The 23,914-nt window shown below is 46.4% G+C and overlaps 1 protein-coding gene across 14 annotated transcripts in view, besides 4 other annotated features; it reads left to right on the forward strand.

The window, feature by feature from the left end:
- PRDM2 (PR/SET domain 2) overlaps positions 1-23,914 on the forward strand; it is a 124,892-nt gene that overhangs the window by 83,424 nt on the left and 17,554 nt on the right. For 5 of the 14 annotated variants that reach the window (XM_047429995.1, NM_015866.6, XM_047429998.1 and 2 more), the window contains one exon: positions 2,904-4,470. The exons of the other annotated variants lie outside the window; for them this stretch is intronic. In XM_047429995.1, coding sequence (XP_047285951.1) covers positions 2,904-2,916 — 13 coding nt within the window. In that variant the 3' untranslated portion in view covers positions 2,917-4,470. Of the gene's footprint in view, positions 1-2,903; positions 4,471-23,914 lie in introns of those variants that run through there. 14 annotated transcript variants of the gene reach the window in all.
- Positions 9,170-9,670: an enhancer, noted in NCBI's record as "H3K4me1 hESC enhancer chr1:14119276-14119776 (GRCh37/hg19 assembly coordinates)". NCBI's record gives its function as "activates a minimal SCP1, AML or CMV promoter by ChIP-STARR-seq in primed H9 embryonic stem cells {active_cell/tissue: H9 hESC(primed)}" and the evidence as "EXISTENCE:reporter gene assay evidence [ECO:0000049][PMID:30033119]".
- Positions 18,140-18,913: an enhancer, noted in NCBI's record as "H3K4me1 hESC enhancer chr1:14128246-14129019 (GRCh37/hg19 assembly coordinates)". NCBI's record gives its function as "activates a minimal SCP1, AML or CMV promoter by ChIP-STARR-seq in primed H9 embryonic stem cells {active_cell/tissue: H9 hESC(primed)}" and the evidence as "EXISTENCE:reporter gene assay evidence [ECO:0000049][PMID:30033119]".
- Positions 19,687-20,460: an enhancer, noted in NCBI's record as "H3K4me1 hESC enhancer chr1:14129793-14130566 (GRCh37/hg19 assembly coordinates)". NCBI's record gives its function as "activates a minimal SCP1, AML or CMV promoter by ChIP-STARR-seq in naive H9 embryonic stem cells {active_cell/tissue: H9 hESC(naive)}" and the evidence as "EXISTENCE:reporter gene assay evidence [ECO:0000049][PMID:30033119]".
- Positions 20,461-21,233: an enhancer, noted in NCBI's record as "H3K4me1 hESC enhancer chr1:14130567-14131339 (GRCh37/hg19 assembly coordinates)". NCBI's record gives its function as "activates a minimal SCP1, AML or CMV promoter by ChIP-STARR-seq in naive H9 embryonic stem cells {active_cell/tissue: H9 hESC(naive)}" and the evidence as "EXISTENCE:reporter gene assay evidence [ECO:0000049][PMID:30033119]".

The following is a 23,914-nucleotide window of genomic DNA, read 5'->3' on the forward strand; positions in this document are numbered from 1 at the left end:
GTGCTTCCTATATTAAGAACTGTTCTCAGTGACAGATGAAGAGAGGGCAGCGGTTAAATTTGTTACATTGGATTCTCAAACTTCCTGAGTCCTTTGTCCGAAGTGGATGTGTATTGGAATTCCTGCTGTTTCTGAATAGTTCAGTCTCATGTGAAAATTACTCATCAGATAGCATTTCTGCAAAATACTTTTAAGTCTTGTCTTTTCACAGGATGCCACCTGACTCTAGGCTTTCATGCTATAGCTTTTGGTGTCTGAAAATTCTTTGGTGTTTTAAGCAAGCAGAATTAGGGATCCTAAGTGTGGACGCGACTGCCATTTTGTAGAGGTCACGAGGACACAGAGGTGCCATTAGCCCTGCATGATTGATGAGGTAGAATTTTTAATGCTGGTGTGCCTTAAATCACAGCTAAAGATAGAGAAGAATCATTAGCTAAGGCTGATTTGAATGATTTACTGTAGGATTAATGGATCAGATTTTTAAAAAGTTACTTCATAAATGTGTTAAATATTTAGTTGCCATAGGTCTGACCAACGCTCGGTCTCTGGCCGCGGCACATACATAGGTAGCATCTTGGAGGTTAGCTCTGCTGAAAATAAGCACCTGTGTTATCAGCTGTCAAAGCTGCTTGCCTTTAGTAATTGAATTGTGCACCTGTTTGTGCTCAGTCTGTGTTCTGGTGGTGCCACACCAACAGGACATGATCAAATTGAGTCCTTTTCAAGTTGCTTGTGTCTTCAACAAGCAGAGTGTGCCTTCATTTTCACAGATTGTACTATAAAACACCTCCCAGGCGGTTGATGCTTTAGAATGTACTGTCTATCCCTTTTGTCTTCAGTATTATCTAAAAGAAATGCTTGTTTTGTACTTGGCCCTACTTACACAGTTCAAGGTTAAAGTTGATTTGGAAAAATTAAGTTCTGCAAAGAAAAGCTGTCAGAGTGACCATAAATTTATGAGGCCTATTCAAATAGCCTCTACCCAGTGTCTTTTGAGTAACCTTTAAGGCTACAAAGGACTAAAGGGCCTTAAAAATCATGTCTCTTCTTTGCCCCAGTTCATTTTCATTATTTTGCTTTGTTTGATAGTTAACAGAGGGTTACCTTGCTGGAGTGAAATTTTGCCTAAAAGGAAGCACAGAAGAATCAGATAAGAAAACACTGGTATTGTCCTAACCGTAGATGGTAATGACAGGCATTGGTGGCAGCTCTTCCTCCTCTGTGTGAGGTGCTGGAACTGTGCTGCGGACACATCTGTAGGTCAGGAATGTGATCCAGGGGTCCACTTACCAAGTCACCATAAACCTGTGATGTGTTCTTGGGAATTAGAAAACAGATGTTCATCAAGATAGATTTTGACTATCTGGACACAAAAGTGGGCATTTCTTTAAAGTGTTTGTTTTGGTCTTAGTACTTTGTAGTGAGTTTAGCACAAAACTGGGATTCCTAAACTTAGACCTGGGTAATATGATGATTGTCATTAACGTGTTGCCCAGGGCTCGTAGAGAGGAGGCCTCAGCCTCAGTGCATATTTGTTGCATTACACTAATAAGGAGTTGTTTGAACTACAGTCGTCTTTCTGTTTAAGTATAGTTCTACTTGTAAATTTCGTGTAGGGATGATTCCTGACACAAGGAATCATCACATCTATTACATGTCGAGGAATACTCACTTTCACTCTGTTTGCAGCTTGCTTTACTTACCCTGTTGGGTACACAGGGATTTCTTACAGAACAGGCAGCACATCCTTGTCCTGTGTTATTTCTTTACAACAAGCTGTGATTAAGAGCTAGTTTTCCATACTCAGATATTTTACATGTGAATGCCACTTTCGGATTCCACAGTTTTTCAAGTACATGCTTGCAATCAGCCATATGATTTTTCCATGAGTTTTCTACTTAACACTGAGGGTCATTTCCTGGAACACAAGCCATGGTGCCAGACAAGGTGTCAAAAAGCCATGTGCTCCAAATATTTTTCTTAGGAGAAAACACAGGAAAGCAGGCATGCCACAGTCATTCAGGTTCTCCTGCTGCAGCTCTTACTACAGTGACCCACCCCCCACCCCTCGCCATGGCTTTCTGGAGTGCTGAGTTTAAATCTGTTGCTAAGGGTTCATTTCCATGGGCTCCAGTAAAGCAGAAAGGGAAGGAAAGAGGTGTATTCTCTACTCACCTCCTACTCATCTTTCACCTTTGTAAACCCCACGGTGTTTTTGGGTTCTTTTTTTTTTTTTTTTTTTAATGAGACAGAGTCTCGCTCCGTTGCCCAGGCTGGAGTGCAGTGGCACGATCTTGGCTCACTGCAAGCTCTGCCTCCCGGGTTCACGCCATTCTCCTGTCTCAGCCTCCCGAGTAGCTGGGACTACAGGTGCCCGCCACCATGCCCGGCTAATTTTTTGTATTTTTAGTAGAGATGGGGTTTCACCGTGTTAGCCAGGATGGTCTCGATCTCCTGACCTTATGATCCGCCCGTCTCGGCCTCCTGCAGTGCTGGGATTACAGGTGTGAGCCACCGTGCCTGGTGTTTTTGGGTTCTTTAATGCTTCTTTTAGAGCCACATTTTTCTTTTCAAACCGAGTTCCCATCGCAGTCAAGAAAAAGGTAGAGAAGCAAAATGAAATTCTAGACCAAGTTTTTCCATTTACCAGGAATTGATTTAAAAAAAAAAGTGCTAATTTCTCATGCCTCCATCTCTGCTACATCCCTTGGAAATAAATGCGTGTAGTTCCTTGCAGGGTGTGTCTTCTGGGTAGGACGCTCGTTCCTAAATGCCTTCAGTCATGTATGTGTTGTCGTCTTAATAACATTTGTCTTACGGTCTATTCACCTTTTTCTTTAACATGGTCAATCATGTAAGGTTATGTTCTGTTGTCATTTATCTTCAGTTTTCTTATTTTCTAGGAACTTCCTGTAGAAAAGCCCCCAAAACAAAACAAACCTTAATTGACTAAAAAGTATTGCATGCTCAACTTAGGATAAGCACTACGGCAAAGGATACGAAATCTACCAAGCTTGCAAGACCAGTTGAAGCTGACTCAAAAATCCTAACATTCAGCTGATTGCCGGCAGGCTTAGAGTCAGGCATCTGCTGCTTCGGTGGGGGCCCAACGCGCATGCTGGGCGCCCGGGTGATTGAGATCCAAAGAGAAGGGCACTGTAAGACAGGCCAGATGAACTGGCTCCTCGTCATGGGACTGGTACCTCAGATCTGAGCATGGCCCTTGTTTTTGGCACGTAGCAGAGAAAGGATTGATTTGAACTTAACCTTGCAAAGCAAGTTGCCTGTTTTAGCAGTAGTTTGTTGTAGGTTTCAGGGATGACAGATTTGGATGCACTCATTTAAAACGTTTTGGTCACATATCAGCTCTTGATGCCTTTCTTTTAAATTAATTATAGACAGAGAGAGGCATTTAGCTGATCTCTTACCCCTGGTATTTCTTTTTTTTGTTGTTTTCGTTTTTTTAAATCACAAGTAGATTGCCAGCGTAATGGAGAGGAAACCAGATTGGATATGGACTCTTTTTTATGCCTATTCTGGTGTTGCGTTTGTATATCCAAATGGACGTTATCCTCTCAGATTCTTATCTGGCACTAATTTATAACTATTATATTATCAGAGACTATGTAGCAATATATCAGTGCACAGGCGCATCCCAGGCCTGTACAGATGTATGTCTACACGTAAGTATAAATGAATTTGCATACCAGGTTTTACACTTGCATCTCTAATAGAGATTAAAAACAACAAATTGGCCTCTTCCTAAGTATATTAATATCATTTATCCTTACATTTTATGCCTCCCCCTAAATTAATGACTGAGTTGGTGGAAAGCGGCTAGGTTTTATTCATACTGTTTTTTGTTCTCAACTTCAAAAGTAATCTACCTCTGAAAAATTTGTAGTTTAATATTTGTTTGGTGAATTTGTGCCACTTTAATCCTTCCACTATCATTCCCATTTTGTTACATTTCTGTTATGGGGACTTTATGTTGAAATATTGTATAAAGCATTTGTAGCAATTTAAAAATAAAATATTTAAAATTATTTAAATTGTTTTGGACGCTTCAATTGTATTATATGTGATTTACATTTCACTTTTTTTGTTGGCGTTGTTAACCCGGAGAGTGCTCCTGTATTGAACTTTGCTGTTAGTTATTTTATTGCTTCTTTTTGGAGAGTGCTATAAAAGACTATTCTAATGAAAACATTAAAATTTACAATTTGACATACAAAAAGGGGTTGTCCATTGATTTTAACCAATGTAGCACTGAGAGAGAGAGAGGTTAATTATAGATAGACAAGAGTGGTGTTTGTTGTTTTTCCCCTCCCAGCATTGAAATCATTGGGGCTTGTCAGATGTATTAAAAAAAGATTTGTTGTGCTATTGCTGCAAACACTTAATAACTAGAGGAGAATTTAAACAATGCATTTTATATTATTGTAACCAATAAAAAACTTTCTAAACATCTGTGAAAGGACTGCATTTTGTACATAATTGGGAGCAGTTAGGGGGTAAAACAAGGTGTGTGTGGAGGATTGTTCAGAGCCCGCACTCTAATTTAAAAGTGCGGCGTCTACTCAGCCCACCTGGCGTCTGTTCACTTGTTTCTATTTGACAGTAACTGAATATGTGCTCATTCCAGTTGGATTTCTATGTAGAGGGTGGACGTGTAGTCAGACAACGGTGCCGAGAAGTACCTTGTGAACTCACTCGGGTAAGAGTAAAATACAAAATAATTTCATCTGTGGGGTCTCTGTGCTTCCTAAAAGTTTACTGTAGTTTGTGGATTGATGTTTATTTCTATGGGCTTCCAAAGAATGAAACCAAAAAGTTGTGACATACTCAGTTTATGTGAAATTGCTGGGGTTTTTTAAGATTAAAAATGGCTGACTATAAGCGGTTTCCTATAGTTCATCATCATAGCACTTTGCTAACCACATCTGTCTGTCACTCCTCAGGGAAAGGTGGTGAAGGGATAGCCAGCTTCCCTTGGCCAGATGTTCTGGCATACGATATTCCTCCCTTAGAAAAACACGGAGGAGAGAGGTTGGTGGGAATCTGGAACTGGTCTTCGATATTAGTAGTTTTAAACAAATGAGGCTTCAACACACAGCAGTGCCCTGTGAGGAGTTGAGTGTTGTGAGAAAGAGCACGGTCTTGGATGAGAACTGGATTTCCATCCTAACCCATCTGCTGGCCGTTCATCCCTTCCCTGTGCCTTCAGTAAACGGGCCTCCAACAAGCGCCCTCCATGGCTGCGTCTTCTGTGTTTTAGCCTTGGGCAAGTTCCTTTACATTCTGGATCATAGTTCCCAGTCTGCAAAAAGTGGGGAGTAGACTGGCTGGTTTCTGAGTGCGCCCTCTAGGAGGAGATCTTTTCTCCTGGATCAAGATGCTGTCAGACACAAGCACTGGACTGAAAGAGTGGGATGATGGCTCGGTCTCCACAGTGTCCCTGGCTCTGCCTGGAACATGACAGGGACTCAGATGTTTACTGGAGGAGTCACCAAGGAACCACATCACATCCATCTCACCAAGGGAGAAGCTGCCCTGTTTGGGTTGCTTTGGCTCTTCTTTGATAGAGTTAAACGTTTTTAAAAAATCAAAAGCTAATTAGAGCCTTCCATCCCTGTTACCATTGAAACATTTCACAGTGTTTCTGGTAAATGCCTTGCTAGGCTGGCTGTCTTGTCCTCGTTGTTACAAGTACTTTCTAGCAAGATAATTTTACAAAACCAGCTTAATGTATTGAGTACTTAATGTATGCCTGGCTGTGTTGTAGGTGCTTAGGATACATCTCTGAACAAAATGGACAAAAATCCTGACTTCCGTGGGGCTTGTATTTTCATAGTGGCTTTTTTCCCCACTTTATACTTCATATTCCAAACCTCCTCGCTGTCACAGTTCCCCAGAGGCTAGGTGGACAAGGAGATGCTTCTAGCTTAATATCTGAATGCCAGTAATCTAGATGACTGCCGGCTTTTAATACTTAGCTTAAAATGACTCTACTAAAATTATAGCTCACTTAATGCATTTGATATTTTATTCATGTGGGTTTTGATTTGATATTGAACCTCGCTTTGAATATATTGACTTGAATCCATAAAAAAAATCATAAAGGGCAATTTACCTTGAAAGTGGATTAGAGCACAGGCGGATGAGAAAAGGGTTGACTAGGATATAAAGGCCACATTTAAAGTGTTTCAAAGACCAGGCTGATAGTTACAGAAAATGGTTTATCGTTCCCCGTCAGCCTTTACAGGCCCAGCTCTCATGGCCTCTTTCCTGCCTGATGGCACCACTCCTGCAGCTGCCGCTTCAGGCAGCCTCAGTGAAGGTTCTGGTGAAGCACTGCTGTTGAGCGTATGTTCGAGGGCCTTGCAGGTGTGGATGGGCCATTCTGCTAGACTTAACAAAACGGGGAGCCACAAGCCCTGCCCTTCAACACCGTGGGTTCCACACTTCACCTGGGGAGCTTGTCAAAACCACTAGTTCCAAGGCCCTACAATGAGTCCATTTAGGGCTGGGACCTGCCTGGGTAATATGTACTTTAAAGACCCCAGGTAAATTCAGGGCACAGGAGAATTTCTGAATTTAATATGGGAAGAATAACAGATGAGTGTAGCTCTCAATTGCTAGAGGATTGTGTGTGCTTTAGGCCTCGCAGTGCTGCATGGCATCCTTATAATTATCCTGCAAAGTGGGCACTATTGTTTTCCCGTTCTTTCTAAGGCTGGCGGGGCCGTGCATCTGGCGTTGGGGCATCAGGGTTATTCTGAAGCCAATCCTGAGCCGTGTCCACTTGGTGGAAAGAGGAGGTGGTGGGCCTTGAGGGTGAAGGAACCACGGGCCTAATGTGTAGTTTCTCTCTGGCTTATGTTGATTCCAAGGCCCAAGCCCCCTTGGGCCTTGCCCTTCTGGTGGCTTGACCTTTCCTGAAGGGTTTGCCTCACAAGCAGAACCTTGAATACACAGTATTATGGGATAAGAAAAATAAAGGTCCAGATTGGTGGGAATGATGACGTGACCGTTAAGATTTTAGACAGAACATCTAATGTCAAAATAGAAGTTGAATACGGTTTGAGGTTTGAGTGGGTGGCATGTAGGGAAAAAAGTGCGAAACTGCTCCTTGGTGCCATGGATCTCTGTGCTGCAGTCCCAGGCCCCTAGGCCCGATCCTTGCTGCCACCTACACAGGGTCATGTCACTTCCTCCCTCCCCCCCTTCTGCCCTTGTGCCGCTTCCTCTGAGTGGTGGTGGAAATGATCTGAGAAGCTTTAGGGTGGATTCAGTCTGGCTTTCCAATGCCTGCTGTTTGCTGGGTACTCTGCTGAGCATCTACAAGTCTTGGCAATGACAGCCTGAGGTTGGTGTCATTTACCGATGGAGAAACAGATTTGGGGAAAGTGATTTTGTTCCAAGGGCACACAACTCTAAGGTGGCAAGTTGGGATTTGAACTCCAAGCTACACTGTGCAGTCCATCGTTTTTATAGGTAGGGTTTTTTTTTTTTAAGGGATTTTATTTCTTCTAAATATAGAAAACAGGACGCAGTACCTTCTCCATAAAAGCTTTTCCAAGCATTAGTGAACAAGTGGAACAGTCATTTGTGGGTAAGGAAATCTTCCTGGTGCAGCGAGCCTTTATTAGTCAGGAGTTGCTCCTGGACCCATTTGCTTTTAGTTTCCCTCTCACTGTGGAATAAACTTCTACCCCCATCACAGACCAATTAGTTCAGGTCAATCAAGCTGGCTTTTATAGAGCCATGTGGTTCATCAACGGCAACGTGACTGTTTAACAGAAGCCAAGCTCATTATAGTAATACCCTTTGATTTTGGAGATGATTCTAAAGGCCCTGGGATCCTCAAGCATCTCCTCAGATACCGGCGGAGAACCTTGAGCTGCTGGGCATTAACCCAAAAAGAAAGTTGGTCTAGGCTGCCTCCCGACTTCAGCAAATAGTGTGTTTGTTACATGCAAAACAAACAGGTATTTACGTTCTGCCGATACCTTATTTTTAAAGTATAGGATTAGAACCTGGAGGGGGTGTGTAGGTTTCATTTAGTTTTCTAGATTAAGAATTGAGGAAACCATCATCACTCTACATTAAATTACTTGCAGTTGCAAAAATTGCATTTAATTGTGAGTCATTAAAAGGTACCCAGAAATACTTTTATTAAAATAAACTTGTCGACCTGTTGCGGGTAATAGGATTTGCACATGCCTGCATTTCTGCCTTCCTTATGTCAGCTGGATTTCTTTTCAACTCTTTTTTAAAATAGAAATTCAGGTGGACATTCTGGAGACCATAAACATTTTACGGAAGACTGGTGCCTAAATGTGCCTTCCCATGTCCAGCTAATAAACCATGGCAGGAAGTCAACAGAACAAGCCATGTTTCTGAACACCCTTTCATAGGTGCCACCTGAGTTACTCAGTGAGGGGAGAAAGAACTGGAGTGTCATTTCAGCAACCACAGAAAGCTACAGGTGAATTTTAAAGCCCAGGTTTGTGTTCTGATTCAGAACATATTTAAGCTAAGAATATTTCCTTATTCATGTTTAAACAGGAGCCTATGATACAATCTGGAATCCTACATCTACTGAGTCTTAGCATTAAATCTAAATGTACATTTAAAATAGGACTCACTTTAAAAAACCTGGAATTTGTGGCACAGGTAAGTTAACAAAAGGGCATTTAGGCCTTAGGAGACAGTTATGGGTATTTTAATTTTTTAACTTAAAAACAATTTCAGTGTACAGCAGTTGAATTTGTCGTAGCATTTAATCATTGGCCCAAAATATACTTTAATTTTTTTTATTGGAATGAAGTTATTTAAAACTCATGGATTCAATTTTCCTTGCGGTAACATTCTCTTCTCACTTGCTTTTTATAATCGCATCCAATCCTTGCCAACCCAGCTAGAGTTTAGAACATTTTCAGATGGCTTCTATTTCCAGGCTATTATTGGACTTGTGAATTCAGGCACATTCTCCTGTTGTGATTCAGTCAGCCAGCCATTCAGAAAACATCTTTCAACAGCCAATCTGAATCATCAAAGTGTCAGGCTGTAGATCTGAAGGACTTTGTCCTGGGACTCTTAGAGGACCCTCGGGGTGTAGCTAACCACCATGGAGGGAGTTGAGGATGCGCCTGGAGTGTCACTGGCCTTTCCAGCGCGTGGGGCACCTTTCTGAGTGCTTTACATTTTGAGCTCTCCCACATCTGACGGAGATGGTATTCTCATTTACAGATAGATTAACCGAGTCGGAGAGAGGCAACATCACTTGAATTATGTCCCATGGCTACAAGTGGAGACCCCAAACCCAGCCATCTGGTTCCAGAGCCAAGCTCAACTACAATTTGAAACCACCTAATCACTGTGCCCTTGGGTTTTAGAGAGACTTGCATGTACATAACTGTTGTGTCCCCCAAATGAGATGCTGATGGCCAGAGAGCAGTTTTACTGCAGAGAGTGTGTGTAGGATCATGGGAAGAACATGGGCATTGAATGCCTTCCCATCTAGGTGTTCCTTACCTGGGTGCTGTTAGTTACTGAGTGGCAGGGCATGCTGCCCACAGAGTGACCAGCTTCCTGGCCTGTAGGGGAGCTCTGTGCCCCCCACCTGCCACATGCCGTGCGCGTTACAGAAGGCAGCATGTGTTCCCAGTGAGGATCCAATGGCTGATGGCTGTGGTGGCGCTGGTGATGACAGTGGACGCTTAATCCGCGTCAGGTGCTCAAGTCCTCACAAAAACAGACCTAGGGAGGCACCGCTAAGGAAATTGCCAGGTCTTAGTAGCCGGCCCCGGGTGGAAAGGGGCAGCATGTGGGGAACTTGGATGATGGTGATCACTAAAGAACTTGGGGACGAGGCTGTTGCAGAAACGACTCACTTTTCAAAAGCCCTGAAAGAGAAAAAAGCCCTTTGTGGGAACTGAGAAACATAAGTTTCTATTAATTTCATGAGTGGGTGGTTCTATCCTTTGGTGAGGCTAGAGCTTTGTCAGAATTTTTAAAACACTCCTAAAGGCTTCTAGAATGATGTATTCTTTTCTATCTAGGTAAGTGCGGAGCAATTGAGTCCCGGCTCATGGAGAGCATAGAGCAGGGATGTCCAATCTTTTGGCTTCCCTGGCCCACGTTGGAAGAACTGTCTTAGGTCACACATAAAATATAGTAACATGAAAGCTGATGAGCTAAAACAAAAGAAAGATATCGCAAAAAAAAAAGTTAGTGTTTTAAGAAAGTCTATGAATTTGTGTTGGGCTGCATGCAGCTTGTGGGCTGCAGGTCGGACAAGCTTGGTACCTGGGGAGCTCCAGACATTGATTCTCCTGGGATCCCTGGAGCCTTTCTCAGTCTGAGACCAGGGCCCCTCATGGGAGCAATGCAAGTTGAGACAGAGCTTCAGTTCAGCCTGGTCTGCCATGATTACATAGAAATGGAAATTCCAAGTTCAGAATTTCCTGAAGGCCACTTGCATTCCACAGAAGAGATGGTGAGGTGCAGGCCAGCACTAGCCGGGGTTGAGGTTCTACTGTTTTCATGACAGGCAGCGGAATGTAGGTACGGGCATTGGCTCTGGACCTGGAAGGCTGATCAGCTGGCACCTCCTCCAAGAAGCCTTTCCTGACCATCGATCTGTCACACTGCCTGGTCCCTCATCCCTCTACTTGCTGTGCTTTACTGTTCAAGACCCTTAAGCCTTCTGTACATTCTGTTATGGACTCATTATGTTTGTTTACTCTATGTCTCCCCCTTCTTAGATGAGAGTTCTACCCAGGCAGGAACTTTGATTTCTTCACTGCTGCGTTCCCAGCATCTATTAATAGAATGGAGCCTGGCATGTAGTAGCTGCTCAATAAATATTTGTTGAATAAAATATTTGAATTCTGGCTTTATCATGTGTAGTTCTGTAAGCGTAATCTATGCAAGTTACTCAACCTCTCCGAGCCCGTTTTCCTTTCTGTGGAAGGGCAGTAATCAATCTGACCACAAAGAATTGCCACGAAGACAACTTTAGAGCAGCCTGGAAGGACCACAGATGCTGTTCACCCCAGTGAGTGCTGTCAACGTCAGCTGCTGTCAGCATCACTATTATGACTGACTGATGTCCTCTCTAATCTCAGTTTGAATCTGATGAAAAGTTGAGCCTGGCATGCCATGTATAAGATTTCATGACAGCGTGAGTTGTAGTAGCCAGAACATTCCCTCATTATCTCCTGCCTCTGCCCAGAGAGAAAGCTCTCAAGTGGCCTGTAACTCCTGGTTTGGCTACCAGTGGCACCAAGGACCTTTGCTGTGTCTTTGCCAGGCCAGAGCTGTTCCTCTGTGGACCAGAGCTGCTTCCTTCTTATAGCAGATGCTCCCACCCATCAGAACTAAAGAGAAGTGAGCTGTAAGACAAGAAATCATTTTCCAATTCAAAGTGAGAAAAAAGATGATTCATTCTTATTCTATCACCCCCTCCCTGTAACTTTCTATTTCTTTTGGTTTTGAATTTCAATGTCAATTTTTAAAAGGTAAGTTAAGAAGAAAGCATTTCATTAGCTCTGTCAAACCATGAAAACCAAATAACCTCGCTTTGCTGAAACAATAATAATGTAAGGATGATCACCGATAATGCTTGCTGGCCACGATGTAAATAAAGGGCTTTCCATGTATTACCTCATTTAATCTTCAAAAGAGCCCTATGAATAATTTCATGTTCTCCCATTTTACAAATGGGGAAACCGAGGCACAGGGAAGTCAAGCAATTTGCCTGAAGTCACAGATGGTAGGAGGTGGAGCCAGGAGTCAAGTCCAGGCAGTCTGTCTCATCTCTTAATCATGAGTTTGTGCTACCTCTCGTCTGTGGATCTAGGCGTGAGGAGGTAGAAGGGAGCCCCTGGTCACGCCCCTGTGCCGCCTTCTAGTGGCATGGCCTTTAAGCAGCAAAGAATGTGACTTGTAAGCACCTTGTCTGCTGGACAAGAAGCACCAGCAGATTTGAAGGAGCTGAAAACTGTGTTGCGGGTGAATGGATGTCTTTGTTCTTCCTGGGATGAACCCATTTTGTATCTTCTTGGGAAACCAGCATGTCTGAGGTTTCGGCCAGGCCTCGTTTTTACCAAGGTTGGAGCCTCATCCCTCCAGCTTTGTTAGAGAAGGAGCAGATCTAGATACTGAACAGCCCAGAGGATGGATGAACCTACTCTCTAGGGTCAACTTCTCCCCCTTCTATTTTCACAGAAGTCTTTCCAAGCCAGGGTTGACCAGCAGGTTTCCATTTGTGTAGGGGGAGCAGTTGCCCAGGGTGCTGCATAGAACTGGATTCTGAAGCTGGGTTCACACTCAGGGAAAGAGGGCTGGCTAAGTGACCCATGTCTGCCTTGTATGCAGGAAGGCGAGTGGTTCTGGAGTGCCAGGTATTTGCTGCCTGTGATGTCATTGTGTCTGCTACTTTTCTGCTTTTTAAAACTACACTGGACTCAATTTCACCCTTCTTTGAGGGTTCAAGGTAACCATCAATTAATACTTTGTTGTAGAAAAGATGATTCTGGCATATAGGAGATCCTGACCCCACACTAGAGGATCCAGAAGCTTGAGATGTGACTTTTGAGAAGAGCGTACTCCTCAAGATCTCCTTTTCCATCTGTCACTCATGGATATTGTCTGTACTTCCTGGCATCCTTCAGATATGCTTCTGTTAATTGTGGGCTGGGAAGCTAGATTGTGGTCCTGTTAATATCATATGTAAACAAAGAGATGGTTGGCCCTGAGAGATCTCCCAAGGACCTCCCTTGTAAGCAAAGTGCATTAATTCCAGAACATGGATTTGTGGACATGGTTTGCTCACTCATTAACAGTAGGTCTTGACCAGATGCGGTGGCTCACACCTGTAATCCCAGCACTTTGGGAGGCTGAGGCGGGAGGATCATTTGAACTCAGGAGTTCAAGACCAGCCTGGGCAACATAGTGAGACCCCATCTCTACAAGAAATAAAAAAGCCAGGTACAGTGGCACACACCTGTAGTCCCAGCTACTCAGGAGGCTGAGGTGGGAGGATTGTTTAAGCCCAGGAAGCCAAGGCCGCAGTGAGCTATGATTGCACCACTGTGTTCCTGCCTGGCCAGCAGAGTGAGACCCTGTCTCCAAGAAAGCCAAAAACCAAAACACAATAGACTTTGGCTCTTGGTTCTGTGCTGGTAAGTGATGTTGCTGGGACAAGTGACCTAGATAGGAGAGTATTAAGTATAACACACCGTATAATGGACTGCTTTTTTTCTTTTAAGCTCCCAAAACACGAGTTAAAGAAATGATTTGTGGAGGGAACGAAACAAAAGTTTGGGTAAAAGTGCAATCAATTCCTTTCTCAGCAAATATTTGTTGCCAGGTGAAGTTCCTTAGTTCTGAAACAAGAGTTTCCTTCTCTTTACCATCCTATGTCCTTTAATTTATGTTTAGAATAAATAATCTATTTGGTGCCAAGTGGTTTAATCTTGATAGTTTTAGAGAGCTGGTCCTTACAAACCCATGGAAGTACTGGTAGTTCACTACCTTTAGCAGAGATTGATGACCTGCCCATGAAATGGATTTCTCTTATGGATTCAGGATGTTACTCTGGAATTGTTTTGGAATTTCTCTAATGGCCAATGTTTATGTTTACAGGTGTGAGTTTTATACTCTTACTGTCTTCATTCTTATGTTAGGCTCCTGTGATTTAATTTTACGAGTGAGTTTAGTGAAAACAAATCTGTGTTAACTTTACCTTCACGTAGGAGCCAACTGTTTGATAGGCCTCAATGAACTGGTGTCAGATATTGTAGTTGAAATATATGCCGTGCCAGATTATTTCAACATTGTAATTAATGATAGGTTTATATCCTTTGAAAGCATTTTTAAAAATTACAGACACAGCTCGTGAGTGCCAGCTAACAGCAGGTGTTTTATTAAAGTGTTGTTCCGAGTTGTGTGTGGCACATGGCGAGGTAAGAGCATTTTGCGGTTTGGTTTGCGTTGTTAATTACAGCTTTAAATGCCATTTCCTGTCTGTGTTCCTGGGTGTGTGATGGGGCCCTAGTTTGGATCATCTCCCCAGGATGTTTGCTCAGTGGACCACCTACATTAAAAAATCACCTGGGTGATTAAAAGTTTCAGACCTACTAAACCATAATCTCTGGGGTGGGACTTTGAAATCTTCATTTTTATCAGCTTGTCACATGAGTCTTACCCAGACTTCAGAGGGCTTTTAAAGTATTATTACTTTTTTTAATGACATGGTATCACTCATCTCATCACTTAATTTCTTCTGATTTTGATTTTAAATTCTTTTCCTTTGCTTGTTTACCATCTCTTTGATATACTTACAGCAACATTTCAACTCTCAGAACACTTTCAATTATGTTTTTCCTTAATTCTTATAACAACCCGGTGATAGATGAGTCAGGGGCAGCTCAGGAGCTGGGGACATTTCTGAGTGTCGTAGGTAAGAGGGAATTGGGGGTTCGCCAACACAGCGCCCTGCATGTGTGTGTTCACCTGCACCCACCGTAGGCCTGAGCATGTGGTAGGAACTCAGTATTTGTGGAAGAAAAAGAAAAAGAAATCCTCAAGGATAATAGAGCCAAAGCTACCGCTCCGCCTCAGTGACCTACTTATGTGACCCTAACTCATGACCCTCTTGGTTTAAAATGTGAATGTTGGGGCAATTAACTGCTGGTGATTGAACAAAGAATGTCCGTTCATAGGTAAATGATCCATTAAAATCAAGCCGAAAGAAAAGGCTGGTGATAGCTAATTAAAATTAGTGTTACTGCCTCTGGGGATAGTCCTTAAGGTTAAGAATGCATAATGAAAGCCAATCAGTAACCCATAGAGACCAGTATAAAACTGCTAGCAACCCACTACAGCACAGTGTATTAATTCAAAGGTACTGGTGGAATTATAGTCTCCCCTCCCAGTCTACACTGGTACACACACCAAAGATTCGAGTCCTTACAGGCTGTCTTTGACTATAACTGAACATCATGGGGGTAGAACTATTCAACTATTCCTTCAGATTTCTAGGTTCTTTTTCCCCTATTTTTGGACCTGAAAATAGGGTCACCCTTTCTGTAGTACCAAGCTTGAATTTCATCTCCTGACACCTGACATCTCTTAAGGGGTGGGAATGGGGGGATCGATCCTTCCCTAGTAGAGCCTCCCAAAATACATAGCAATGGATGACTTTCCTTGCACATTTTCTGACTTTTGCTCAAAATAATGAATCATCTTCTTAGGGTTTAAACACTGATGGGTTTCATGGTGCCATGTGCATTTGAATGGGCTGTGTTAACAAAGCTGTTCCAAAAACCGGATCTGCAACACAGTATCGCTTGCCTTGGAGATTTCTCCTTCACCGTGGTGAGTCAGAGCTGCTGGGTAATGTGACTTAGTCAGCTGGATCAAAGGGTAACAAACACAAGCACTCCAGGCAAACACAGAGGTCTCCGCCACTTACTTCGTCACTAAGTCCGGCATGTTCACCATTGCCTAAGGAAGAACAGAGAATTAAGAATTGTGAGGCCGGGCGCGGTGGCTCACGCCTGTAATCCTAGCACTTTGGGAGGCCAAGGCAGGTGGATCACCTGAGGTCAGGAGTTCGAGACCAGCCTGGCCAACATGGTGAAACTCCTTCTCTACTAAAAATACCAAAAATTAGCTGGGCATAGTGACGGGCGTCTGTAATCCCAGCTACTCAGGAGACTGAGACAGGAGAATCGCTTGAACCCGGGAGGCGGAGGCTGCCATGAGCTGAGATCGCGCCATTGCACTCCAGCCTGGGCAACAAGAGCGAAACTCCATCTCAAAAAAAAAAAAAAAGTGAGAACATTTTGCAAAGCACAAGGCCTTGGAAAGTGGAATAGGACCAGAAATCCTTCTGAACTTTTTTGCTGGAACGCCAACTGTGGATAAAACATACAGTTGAAACCCAGCTGACTTTAGTTTGAGCGACCCACCAATATTAATGCATGTTCTTCATTGCCTCTGGAAATCCTGACCACTGCTCATAGGGAGAGTCCGTGTGCTTCCATTCCCAGCAGCCAAGTTAAATGCATGCCAAAGGTCAGTTGCATTTGTTCCCAAACCTGTTTATGCCGCTTGTATTTATTATCACACTTGCACAATCTAATTAAATATTATACAAGCCAATGACTAGCATAGAGCTATTTATGAAAAACAAGTTGAATACTTAGAAAGGCACATAGTAATTCGCTTAAAAATTGCAGTCCAACAAGGTGTGGGTGAGAAAATTAAAAATGTGCCGGGACCAGGGCAGAGATGGTAAAGGCATAGGAGGATTTTGTACTCAGATTCCCCTTATAAGTGTCTTAGTTTCTCTCTGCACTTTTAACAAAAACTGGAAGTTAACAGATGATGTAATGTGGGTGTGATTTAGTCCAGAAAGGCAGTGCAGATCTTGGCCATTCATTCATTCATTCATTCATTCATAAATGCGGGGCCTACGCCTGCTGTTACATGCCTGGCACTGTTTTAGGTGCCAGGGGATATAGCAGGGAACAAAACTGTCACAATGTCCTACTCCACGGAATTTATGTTCTAGTTGGTGGAGACAGGAAAGTAAGTAAATAGATGGCATGTCAGATGATAAATGCTAGGGAGAGAAATAAAACACAGATGCGGGAATAGAGACTTCTGGAGTGGAAATGGGGAGTGCCTTGATTACATGAAAGAAGATGGGGCCTGGCACCCATGGGAGGAGTGGGGCTCAGGAGGGGGCATCCCGCCTTACAAAGAAGAAGACAGCTGGGAAGGGAGGCAGGGCGCAAACTGTGGAAGTCTTGTTCCACCATCATTGTGTGCCATAGGGAGCGAAATCATTGGAGGTGGGTGAGGATGGGGAGATGTGGAGGAAGAGGGGAGACGGTGAGCAGCAGCCATGTGGGTAATCAAGGGAACGGCACCAGGGAACAGAGAAGGGCTGCCAGGAGGCATATGCGCTGGGAGCCCACCGGAGTTTTGGGGTCATGAATTTAAAATGCGGTCAGGCAGCATGTTTGTGTGTTTTTCTCCATCAAAAAGGTTGATGAACACACACACATCCCTCTATTTCTAATTAAGAAATGCTTAAATGTACCCATACTGACTCCCTGCTTTGAGTGACCAGCTGCTGGGCCGGCTCTCACTGAAGGAGGGTTGGGGGGGGTCTCCTCTCATAAGAGCCTCTCTGGATTGAACTCCATTGAGCTCCTGCTCTGTTCCAGGCACCATGCAGGCAGAGTTGGGAATGCTTCCCCAGCTATACGAAGTTGGCGTTAGGCCCGTTTCATAAAGGAAACTGTACTGAGGGGGCAGGTGACCCGCTCAGGCTGCTGGTGGTGGAGTTAGGACTGTCAGACTCTAAACCTCATGCTCTCTGCCTCTCCAGGAGCACCAGGTCAAACCAGATGGGTCAAAAGCCTCCACGTACCTAGTGTTCCAGTAGTGCCCCCTGGGGCTGGAGAGGAGGCCGTGGTGGGGAGGGCACTGCAGGCAGGGGCATCGACGTGAGCGAGGACTGAAGTGACATCCTATGGAGGGGGCAAGGGGAGGGTTCAGGCCAGGGCCCTTCTGTGCAGGAGGCCACTCTCCTGGAACTAAGTAGGGATAGGCTTTGACAAAGCCATCCCTTGCAGAATTCCCCTTGTGCGTTCACAGCGTATGTTTGCTTGGCTCAGCACTGTAACCCACAGTAACTGGCAGAGTGAGCGGTCAGTGGCTATCAGATAACTAAGGGAAATATGTTTGGGGTAGATGACAACCTGTCTCCTCTTCTTAGGAATTTACACTGCCTGTCAGCACATGAAAGGCTCAGAAATTGTGCAGAGACACGCCCGTTTGGTTTCACAAGCCTGTGCACTGGAGGTAAATGGCTCGGGCTTCCATCCCAGTTCTGCCGCCTGCCAGCTGTGTGTTCTTGGGCAAGTTGCCTAACTTCTCTGTGCCTTAGTTCCTCATCTGTAAAATGCACTAGTGCCCGTCTCCTAAAGTTCTTGGGAAGATTAAATTCATTATTCCATAACAAACACTTAGCACAGTGCTTGGAACACAGTAAGCAGGAAATGTTAGCTGCAATTATGCAAATGATTATGAGGACAAATACAGCGTCTGCGGGAACCAGTTCCACTGAACCTGGTTTCGGGAAATGCTGGTAACATGGAAGAAACACTGGGAGAGTTTTCATTCCACATGCGCCACCTGGCCGTCATTCTGTGGTCTCCCCAAATAGTGCCTGGCTGGGCTGGGTGTCTGTTTGAGCAGTTCTCAAACTAAATGGAGTGCAGGATCCTGGGAAGGTCTGAGCAGCCCAGGGTGGGGCCAGACAGCCAGGATCAGAGTCATCTGACACCTGCAGGCCTCCGTAGGCTCCTCGTGTGTAAGGTAGATTGAGCTGTCCCGTCCTGGCCACCTTACAGCCTGTTTGAGGACTTTGGGGATCACGAGCAGAAAGGTAGAAGGCACAAGAGCAGACTTTACTATTCAACCCCGGACCCTGGGCACATTCTGAGGATGAGACCTCCAGCTCCACAGGCCATGGTGCCCTTGGCCTTTGGGCAGCGTCATCCCCGTGTTGAACAACACCCGTTCAGGCACCAAGTGAGCGTGCCTTTCCCATGACAGTGCCAGCCCTGCATCTGGGACGCCCTGTCAGCCAGGCACACCCAGGCCTCCCAAGACAAGCTGGTTTTGACCTCTTGGGTAGCAAAGAACCCCAAGCTCCCACAGGCTTCTTGAGCATCGAGGCAGGAGCAGAGGGCGCCACAGGGAGCAGCTGCCTCTCATTGTTAGCATCCCTGGACCGGTTCCGGGTCGTCCAGTGTGGGCATCAGGCATCATGTTCTAGAAATTCTGGGTCCAGGGCAGATGCCACATGAGGCTTCTGAGACTCTCAGTCCCAGCAACTCCAAACCACACACGGGGTGAGCTCTTCTTTTCTTGGTCCTTGGGGTTTATGTAATCCCTTTGACTTCTTTGACCTAGATCATCTTTAAAAGATGGAACAGTGGCAATAATGAAGCTTTAGTGTCCTTACAGAATCTTACCATCTAAAAAGGGCTCTTCTGCTGGATCTCATAAGGGACCATCATCTCTTGCTTCCCAAGTTGGGAATCTGCTTTTTATATGTTCATCAGTCTTCACACACTTTGTGTTCGTGTTTTCTTTTTGGCTTCCCTCCTACTCTTAGAAGTTGCCTTTTGAAGAAAGCAATATGTTTCAGCTCCACAGGAGAGGAAAGAAGGGACAGGATTTGGGGCAGCCTAGAACCAGGTGGCTGCAGGGGAGCGTGTGATGGGAGGTGTGAAGGCAGAGGAGGGAGGAAGCTGTGAAGCTGGAGGAACCGCTCCTCCACCCTGCTGGGCTTCTCTCACCCGGGCTGGTCGTGTCACGGGCAGTGACGGTGTTTCCAGCCGAGGTGACATTCTCCAGACTTGAACCCCTGTGCTGAATGGAGTGGGGAAGGTGGGCTGGGGAGGCCTGAGGGCTGTAGGGTTAGGTTCACAGAACTGTCGTAAAAATGGGGACCTTGTCCCCTGGTTTGGGCGGGACCTTGGCAATGAGAGAAACCGTATAGGAAGCCACGCTGGGAGGATTTGGTTCTTGAGCAGCATGGACAGGCACATTTCAGGGTTGAACCGCACCAGGAGCCTGGCTTTGCCATCCATTTGTTCAGGAAACGTTCTCTGAGCACCAGCCTTTGCTAGGCCCCGTGGCAGGTTCGATGGGTGAGAAGTGAATAGACTCCAACCGTGCTCTCCTGGTGCTCCCAGTCCAGTGGGGGAGCCAGGTGGGTAGAGCCAGTTACAGAGATCTGAGTGCCCTCAGCGAGTCCTCGGGGGCTTCAACTACCCTTCTTCCCATCATCAATGTCCCCAAATAAGCAGTGAGCCTAGTCCTGTCTCCTCACTGCTCCCAAGAACAACCTGGAGTATGACTGTGAGCGAGTGCCTTGCTCGCTCTCCTCGGTTTCCTCGTCTGTAAGGGAAGGGCTGATCCCTGTGGCCTCTGGGGTCCCCTGCACTTCTCGGGTCTTGGCAGCAAAAGAGGCAGCCACAGCCGGGGGCTTTCCCCGCGGGCAGGTTCTCCGGGCCGAGGTCACTGCAGGCCAGGCCGGGCCAGCCTCCCTATCAACTGGGTCATGTGTTACGAGCTTCTCACATGCTGGGTATTTAGAGTTCAACCCAAACAGGTTTGGGGAATTCATGGCCTCTGAGGACCTCAGAACCTGGCTTAGAAGCTCCACAAAGCAGGGGCGTGATTGATCTTTTGGGAGCGTGGAGGCCACATTGGGGGCTCAGCAGTGGGCCCATGGCCTCCCTCAGGGCTGATGAGATGGAAGAAAAATGTGTCTGCTGAGGCCGACTTCAGCCCTGAAATCAGATCTGGGTGTGAATCTTCCCTCCCTTTGTCCTTCTATTCACACCTCTTAAGTACACGAGTTACTTAACCTCTCTGTGTTGCTGTCCCCTCTGCCATAAAAAGGGTATAACAGCCCATCTGCTGGGACTAAAGGGAGGATGACATGAAGACAGCGCATGGGCCAGTGTGTACTAATTCCTCATGGTCAACTGTGTTGTCCCCACTGTCCCCACCGGCTGTACTCAAGGGCTCTGTCTCACCTGAAGGCACCGCAGCGACTCCTTGGGCTGGTGGTGTCAAACCTTTACCCCTGCCCCCCAAGGCCTACGTTCATTCTCTCCCCTTCGGCCCCCTCATTTGGAGACTGTCTACAGAACTTCATCAAGCAGCAGCTCCTCTCCAGGCTTCAGAACGGGCCCCTGCTGGCCACTGCAGCCTAGCATGCTGCCCACACTTGAGACGCCGCTAAAGGTGTCCCCCAGCCCCATGCTCTTGCGGCGTCTGCATGCAGATGCCTCTCCCAGGGATCTTCTTAAACTGCAAATTCTGACTTGGAGTGGGTGGGAGCTGAGAGTCTGCATTACCAACAAGCTCCGGGGGGGGAAATGATGCCGCTGGTCTGGGGACCACATTTTGAGTACAAGGATCTAGACCAGTGGCCTGCAAAGACACCTTTTAAAATTCCCAATGCCTGGGCTGTACCTGAAACCAACGAAATCAGAACTTGTTGGGATAGAAAGCAGGCATCAGGATCGGTTTAGTATCCCCAGGGGATTGCAGTGAACACCCGAGTTTGAGATTCTCTGTTCCAGTGCCCTCTGAGCAAAGGTGGGTCCAGCCCAAAACAGACTGCCAGAGTCTTGAGTGGTCAATGCAGCTGCTCTATGGGCAAAGGCTCACCCCCACCTGGCTTTGGGATATTGGAAACAACTCTTCAATCCTCACTACTATGGGGACTGTGTCAGGGAGTGGGGCATGGGCTTTGGTGTCAAATGGTCCTGGATTCAAATCTTGGCTGCTTCTCTACTTGGCCGAGGGAACTTGAGTGTCCAGCTTCTTTATTTCTCTGAGCCTCAGAACCCTCCTCTGTAAAACCAGGACCATCACAGGCCCAGCCTTACAGGACTGCTGGGAATTTGAGGAGCTCCCAAAAACTACCCAAAGTAGCTCCTGGTGTATAGAAAGTGCTCAGTGGATGATGCGATGATGTTTTTTTCCCCCTTGCCTGACATCCTCATTTTACAGGCAAGACTTCTATGGCTCAGCGAGGTAGAGGCATTTTCCAGCGGCTACACAGCAAGTCCGTAATGGAGCTAGGATTCCAGCTCTGGGCTCTGGAATCCCCACCCCATCCTCCTTTGGGTTCCTGCCCTGCTTCTTTCTTCTCTGTCTTCTCAGCCCTTCCCCCAGGCTGGGGGCTTCATTTGAATGGGCAGGGGCTTCCTGAAGCACGTGGGCCTTCCCACTTGGGGAAGGTGGGTCCTGCAGTGGATGTCGACTGTTCCTGGAGGTGGCTGAGGGCCGATGGCTCCCACAGCTCCCACCTGTGGGCCCTCACCCAGCCCCCAGGGAATATCAGCATCATCACAGGCTTGTCTTACCTTTGCACCATCTCCCCACCCTCTGCCTTTCCCCTACCTTCAGCAAAAGTGCAGAATATCAGACACTGACTTCAAATGAATTGCACTCTGAGAATTTAGAGAGTTGTGTAAGACTTCTGCGGCCAGCGATGTGGCCTAACCAGCTTTCTGTATGGCTGTCCCAGGAGATCCCTCCTGAAGACTGTGAGAAAAAGGTGCAAGGAGGGACCAGGGCAGGCAGAGATCCCAGCCCAGGATGCCCATGGCGGTCTGGCAGGGAGCTTGGAAGAGCACCGTGGCCACGTGGGGACCCTGGAGCCCTGGAGAGCCCATGTCCTCTGAAAGCCGGCAGCTCCTTCCCTCCCAAACTCCTTTCCCTCCACCCTTCTTGAAGCGTCCTCTGGGTTCCTGCCTCCAGTGTCTCTTCTCCCCTTCTCTCTTGAACTCACTTTCAGGGTTTTGGCTCTTCTTGAGGAGCCATCAAACCAAGGTTATCAGCAGCCCCCAGGATGCTCAATGCAGTGGTTGGTTTCCAGTCCCATCTCCCTTGGCCCATCTGCGGCAGTGGACGCTGTTAATCCTTCTCTTCCTTGAAATACTCTCCACCTGGACACCGCCCTCTCCCAGTCTCTGCACATTACCAGCTGCTCCCCCGCATCCCGCCTCCATCCCTGGGCTCTGTCCCCCGCATCCCGCCTCCATCCCTGGGCTCTGTCCCCTCGCTCCGTCTCCGCTCCCCCTTGGTGATCTCATCCAGTCACATGCGTTAAATACCACCTGGATGCTGACCAATCCCGGGTTTCCACCCTCATCAGAATCTCCATTCAGCCGCCCACCTGACATCTCCCTTGGGTGTCTAGATTCAAATTTAATCTTTCCAAAATGAAACTGTCTCTCCATGAAGCCTCCCTCTCCTGCTGTCCTCCCTATGTGGGATGAATGGAAACGGTCCTGCTTGGAGTCCAGCTACCAGCTAGACTCCAACCTCTTCCTCCATCCCCACATCCAGCTCATCAGCAGATCCCCAAACTCACCCGGAATCCACAGCTTCTCTCAGCTCAGCCTCCTCAGCTGACCTGAGGTCCAGGCCACCATCATCTCCCTGGATGGTGGCAGTCACCTCCTTGCTGGTGTCCCCAGTTCCTTCCCTGTCAACCCACGGTCTGTGCCCAGCACAGCAGCCACTTTGGGTCATGATATTCCTCTGCCCAGAAGGACAACTGACTGACACCTCACTTGAAGGCCTATGAGACCCTCCCCTCTGCCCACATCACCTCAGACATTCCTGGTGGGTCTCACCTCAGGGCCTTTGCACTTCCTGTCCCCACTTCCTGGAACGCACAAGGCGTAGTATCCGGACCGATTGATCCCCCCACCCCAGGTCGTAGCCCACACACTGCCGTTTCCCATGTCACCTTTCCCTGTCTTCTCCTCCACTCTGACCTTCACTCCTGTTTCTTCAGTTTCATTTTCTCTTGTATATTTCAGTGTGTCTGGATTTCTCCCTTATCCAAAACCACTGGGGGCTGAATAAGAATGTGGTCATTTGGGAGCCAGGAGGCCTGAGTCTTGGCCTCGTACGGGCATCAAACTCCTTCTGAAATGAGTATCTTTCCTCTCTAGGCTACACTAAGTGACATGTAAAACTATGCTATATGTAGAGAACTTGACTTGTTTTATTCACTAAAACTCCTGTTGGCAAAGCACCTGGCACAGAATAGACACACCGTTCACCTGACAAATAGTAGATGACTGCTACTGTATGCCAGCCAGCGGCTGGGGTGCTGGAGGTGCCTCCGTGACAAACCAGCCTCCAATGCGCCCCCTCATGGAGCCTGCTAGACAGACAGTAAACAATAACCAGTAAACGCAGCTCTGTTGATGGGGATAAGCACAACTCAGAAAGTAAAAGGGAGTCGAGATGGGGAGTATCAGGGGGATTTGTGATT

This window comes from Homo sapiens, chromosome 1 (genome assembly GCF_000001405.40).
Source record: "Homo sapiens chromosome 1, GRCh38.p14 Primary Assembly".
Classification (NCBI taxonomy): Eukaryota; Metazoa; Chordata; class Mammalia; order Primates; family Hominidae; genus Homo; species Homo sapiens.